Below are 6,000 nucleotides of genomic sequence, written 5' to 3' on the forward strand. Positions count from 1 at the left end.
AGCAAATTAGGAATAACAGGAGACCAGGCAAGAGATAAAGATATCTTAGCTGAGAAATGGAATATGTGATATGAAGAGAAGATAACAAATGTGAGATATATTTAGGAAGCAAAGTCAAAGTGGCTTAATGATGGATTGGGAATGGGGTGAAGAAGAAGGAGGTGCAAATAATGGATCTTAGAATTCTGCTTTCATGTAGCAAATATAATCCATTTATTCTACTTACTCACATAGGAAGAGAACCAGAGTTGATGGATTAAATCACAATTTCTGTTTTGAACCTAAAGAGTTCAGAGTACCTTAAAACATCAAATTCATAAGTTATGCATTTGTGGGTCTGAAGCTTAGAGAAGAGCTAGAGGTTTTAAAAGCAAGATAAGAGAATTATTTAGAATGTATATTTTTAAAAAAATACAGCACAGAAAAAAATCAACTAGAAAATGACCAAAATGTCAAGATTTTGGTAATAGGTAGTCATTGGTGATATTTGTGACAGCTATAAGTGGAGTGTGTTTATTTCTTGGAGTAGTAAGAGCTAAAATTGATTAGGAAGAGATTCAGAGTTATGAGGAACATAGAAATGTGGCCAGGTAGCATGAAGGGCCAAGTATGTTGATGACTATATTTAATTCATAGTTACCAATCTACTCTATTTTTAATTTTTTCAGTAGTAATTAGCTACCTGAAGGTTGAGCTCAAATATCTCTTCAGAGAAGAAATTTTGTGGAAAAACATAGTATGTTTTGGTTTGTTTTGATGTACTGATAAAAACATATCAAGGATCTACCATCCTTTTCCAAAGAGCAAGTGTTCAAAAAAGTCATCTCATTGGAGGTACCCAGTAAGAAAATGGGCGTTATTTGCTGGCAAAGTGCTTTTCCCTTTAAAATCATTTTGAATTCCCAAGGAAGGAGGAATACTTTGGCAATTCACACATGGACATAATTCCCTGGCTTGATTAACAATTTTTGTTACCTACCTCTTCCCTATAAGCATTGGAGTATATAATCTATTACCTACAATATAGTTGCCATCACATTGTCTTGAGTAAACAGTTAAATGAGGTATAATTCATTGAAAAAAGAAGACATGTCATTAAATAAGTGGATGTTTAACTTCCCAGCATAAATGAATGTACTTAAGTAAAGGGATGAGATTATTAATCACATGCCAGATAAATATTATAGATGTTAATAAAAAATAATGACGATAATTTTAGAATAAAATGCAGGCCTTCTCCATCACTTCACTTTTTGACATTATTTAAATTGTTGGGCAAGTTATCTATTGAGATAGGAAGAATTCTAAGACCACACCAATAACCTATGCTCTTGTATAATCAATCCACTTCCCGTGTGAGTGAAACCTAATGAGTGTACTGGGATATCCTTACCATGATTACATTATATAATGTGGTAAAAGACATTTTGAAGATGTAATTTAGGCCAGTTGACTTTGAGTTGATAAAAAGATTTTCTCTGGTGGGCCTGACCTAATCAGGTGAGTCTCTTAAAAAATACAGTGAGAGAGATTCTCCTACTGGCTTTAATGTAATAAGTTACCATCTTGTGAGAAGGCCATGGCTAGGACTTAGAGGCAGCCTCTAGGAGCTGAAAGCAACCCTAGTCAACAGCCAGGAAGAAAATAGGGACCTCAGTCCTACATGGCCAAAAAAACTAAATTCTGCAAACAACCTGAATGAGCTTGGAAGAGGAATACAGGCTCCAGTTGAAAATGCAGGACAGCTTACACTTTGATCTTGGTCTATGAGACTCAGCAAAGAGCCCAGCTGCAGTGTGCCTAGACTTCTGACCTATACAAACCATGATATAATAAATGAATGTTGTTTTAAGGCATTGCTTCTGATCATTTGTATGCAGCAATAGAAAATTGATACATGTATTACGTCCACATCCATTTTGTAATGATTAATCCATAACATTCTTCCACATGAGAATTATCACTTCTGTTTTCTACTTAGAAATCATTATAGAATATCTGTTAAATTTTAGAAACTAATTTTGATCTCAAGAAAATTAAGAAGCAATAAAAAATATTCACAGGCCACTTATTCACTTATTTATTTAAAAACATTGTAGGTTTTTTTTTTTAAAAAAACCTATAGGAACCCATGGGGTCCTATAAGGAGATGGGAGTGTAGGTGGAAGTGAGAAATGTATAATCTTACAATGTAAGAATAGCTACTTCATCACATAAGCCAACAAAAATGTTGACCATGCTTTTTAGCACCAAAATGGTAACATCTGGATATATATGAGTGGTAGCAATATAAATGCGCATTCAAATCTTTACATCCTGTAATTAAATATCAGGCTGTACTGAGAAGCCAGTCATGGCCATCAGATTTTCATTGCCTATATAGGGTATCAAAAAGTAGTAATTTCAAAGTACTCATCTGGGCTTTTCCAATCACCACTTTCCTGTGCATCACAGAACTTTACAGTTTCTAAATGCAACTCAGAAAAACCCTTTTAACTTCTCAGTATAAAAAGGTAGCAGAAATTCTTCACAAATATCATACACTGTGGTAAAATAAACATTCTTAATAACACTTTGGGCTTTTTATATTGCTTCAATAGATAGTAAGCTATTATTAGTTATCTCTGAACTTGTTTGATTTAGAAATAATTTGATATGTATTTTAAGGAATTATTGGCTTATAGGAACTTCTGAGAAGACAGAAGAATATGTTATGGTTACACCTTTGATTATAGTCCTTGCAATTGGAAACAGTGTTAAATTGCTGACTTATTACTTAAAATATAAATTATGCATTTTTCTTACACTAGACCTCAGATAGTTATGCAGGGAAGAGAATGGGGTAGTTTAGAGCAAACCTCATGAACAAACTCTCATTTCTATATAAAGAATAATTACTTATAATAATTACTTTGGAAGTGAGCACCTGGCTTTCTTTCCAAAATTTGTATTAGTCAGCGTTATTTCTCAAAATTTTTATTAGCATTAGTCAGCTTATCTCAATACCCAATATCTCAATGGCTTATGACACCTAGCCTGCAGGAGCAGTCTCTGTGTGGGACATGTGTATTTTCACAGTAGAGGACAAGAGAAAGGGCTGAGAGAAACCATGCAACAGTATTAAAAGCTTCTGCTCAGACATGGTGTATGTCACATTGGCTGAAGTTCCATTAGCAAAAGTAAGTCATATAATCAAACCATAGTGCAATGACGCAGGGACAGCTTCTTTTCACAGGAGGGGAAATGACAAAGCAATGGGTAGAGATGTATAATCTTACTGAGATGGGGGATTGAATAACTATAAACAATAGTACAATCAAACTTAGAATTGAGAGAAACAAGTATCAGCAGATGGATGGATATGAAAATTTATATTATAGATATAGATATATCAATAATATATATATATATCATATAATAATATCCTAATATGAAAGAATTGTTAGCTACTATTAGATAGATACTTAGATATTAGTCATAATATTGTATCATATACTTGAATATTATTCAGTCTTAAAATAGGAGATTCTGACATTTTTGACAACATGGTGAACCCAATGGGCATTATACTAAGGGAGACAAGCCAGACACAGATAGAAAAATACCGCATGAAAATAGTTGAACACATAGAAGCAGAGAGCAGAATGGTGGTTACCAGGGGAGGGGACAGTGGCAGGATGGAAATGGGGAAATGGAGGTCAAAGGGTACAAAGTTGCATTTACATGGAATGAATAAATCTAAGAGACTTAATGTACAATATTAGTTAATAACAGTGTATTATATATACTGGTAATTTACCAAGAGAGTAGTTTTTTAGGTACTCTTACACACACACACACACACACACACACACACACATGAACACACACAGCAAGAAAGTAACTATATGGGATGATGGGTATGTTGATTTGTTTGACTGAAGTAATCAGTTCACTATGTATTTGCATGTCAAGGTAAGCATATGACAATATTTAAATACAATTTTTAAAAAACCTTTCTTAACAAAAAACAAAAAAATTAAAAATGTTGTCTGAATATATTGTACCTTTTTATAACCTCTTCCAATAAAAATATATTTAAATATTAGTCCTTTTAAAGAGGTTCACTATCTCATAGAGATATTTATACATTTACAGGTCAAACTCAACATTTTTCAAACTTTGGATCATAAATAGCAAGGAGAATTAAGGTATAAACAACTGTCAAATAACTTCTATTCAAGTACCATGGAGAAAAATAGGTGTAAAATATCCTCAGAAGATGAAAACATATTATTTTTAGGAAAAATCAATGAACACATAAGTTTCAAAAGCAAAATGTGAATATTCACACATTTTAAATTAATTTAAAGTAAAAATCAAATATCACTGAAATCATGACATAATATGTCATTTCCAACAATTCATTTACTTGACCATTTTACTCTGAAAAAAAAAATGCTAACCACTATTTCCTGACTACTTTAATTTCAGGCGGACCGGCCAGATAAAGGATGCAATCTTCAAAAGTATGCCAGGAATGACTCTAGGTATATCCTTAAGAAATGTATTGCTAAATGTTAAATTTTGTTGGGAATTTTCAACATCATAGATTATGTTTAATACAAAAAGAGAGCCTGTTATATTGTGTAACAAGTATTTTTAAAAACTTGTTTAAGTAATATATCTAATAGCACTGTGTAAAAAATATATCTCATCAACTTATAAATTCACATTGAATTTGTTTTCATTTAAAAAAAAGGTATGTTTACCTTTGGGGCCTGAAAAAAAAATTTCATAAATTTTAAAATAATATAATGTTATCTTATAATCTGATATAATTTTATCTTATAATCTAAATAATCTTAAAAATTATTTAAAATAATTTTACCTTATAATCTGATATCTATTTCTAAAACATTTTCAGAATAGTAGCCTATAATATTATCTTTATAAAATAACATGTGCTTGTATATCTGTGTGAGTGTATGTGTACCTACAATAATGTGTATCAGCAAATGATAATTTTAGTTACTATTTACTGGAAAGTAGAATGGGTGGGAGATAGGATCAAGAGTTTTAAAAATATGTTTTTGTATTGTTTTAAGCAAGGAGAATACATTCATTTTCTAATAAATATGTCAAATTAAATGTCTAAATCAGAAAGAAAATTTTGTACATACTTTTTGTCCTTCACAGTTCAGTTTGAATTTTAGTTCAGTATAGATCCTTGTGAAATTATTAAAATCTTCAAATAACAAAATAACTATTTTTTAAATAATAACTCTAGATCCAGAATGTAAGGATGTTAAAAGATACATGTAAGAATATTTTTGTTTTATAGGTAGTTTAATCTCAAAAGGTCTCACTTGGTCTCAGTATTGTGAAGTCATCAGTGTTATTTCAAGAGCACTATGAACATTTCTGAATATGTTATATTGCAGAAGAAAAAAAACGTATCTAACCAATTCTCCAACTGTGAAAAATTCATGTAGTTCTCAAACAGTTTTTTCATACTTATCTGGATGTTACCTAAATTATTTGTTATACTAAAATTATTTTAATGTATTTGTTTAAAGTATGCTATGGTATTTTACTTAAAACTATAGCATTTATGGAATATATTTGGAATTTATTTGGTAAAGAAAATTTACTCTGTAGCCTTTAAATGTCATACTTTTTATGAATTTTGCTAAAGATACATTCAAATTTGTATAAGGAACCAGGGACCTCCTGGGAAGAAAGGGAGGCCAAATTGGCCTCCTCTTTCCCACAAATTCAAGGCTACTAAACTAGTTAGAACTGGTCTCTCCCAAAGCCAGTATCTGGCAAGAGTAGTTGGCCTCAAAGCGGGAAAGATATGCTAAGGCACAAAGCAGATGAATTATGGCTTGAAGTCTCTCAGGACAGACACTAAAACCTTTCTCAAATGCATCATCCTGGAAGAAAGCAATTTTTAAAGAGGAGAGCTTAAGAGCAAAGGCAATAATTTTTTTAAAGAGCTGCAGCTTGGGGAACTCA

The sequence above is a fragment of the Homo sapiens genome, chromosome 6 (genome assembly GCF_000001405.40).
Source record: "Homo sapiens chromosome 6, GRCh38.p14 Primary Assembly".
Classification (NCBI taxonomy): domain Eukaryota; kingdom Metazoa; phylum Chordata; class Mammalia; order Primates; family Hominidae; genus Homo; species Homo sapiens.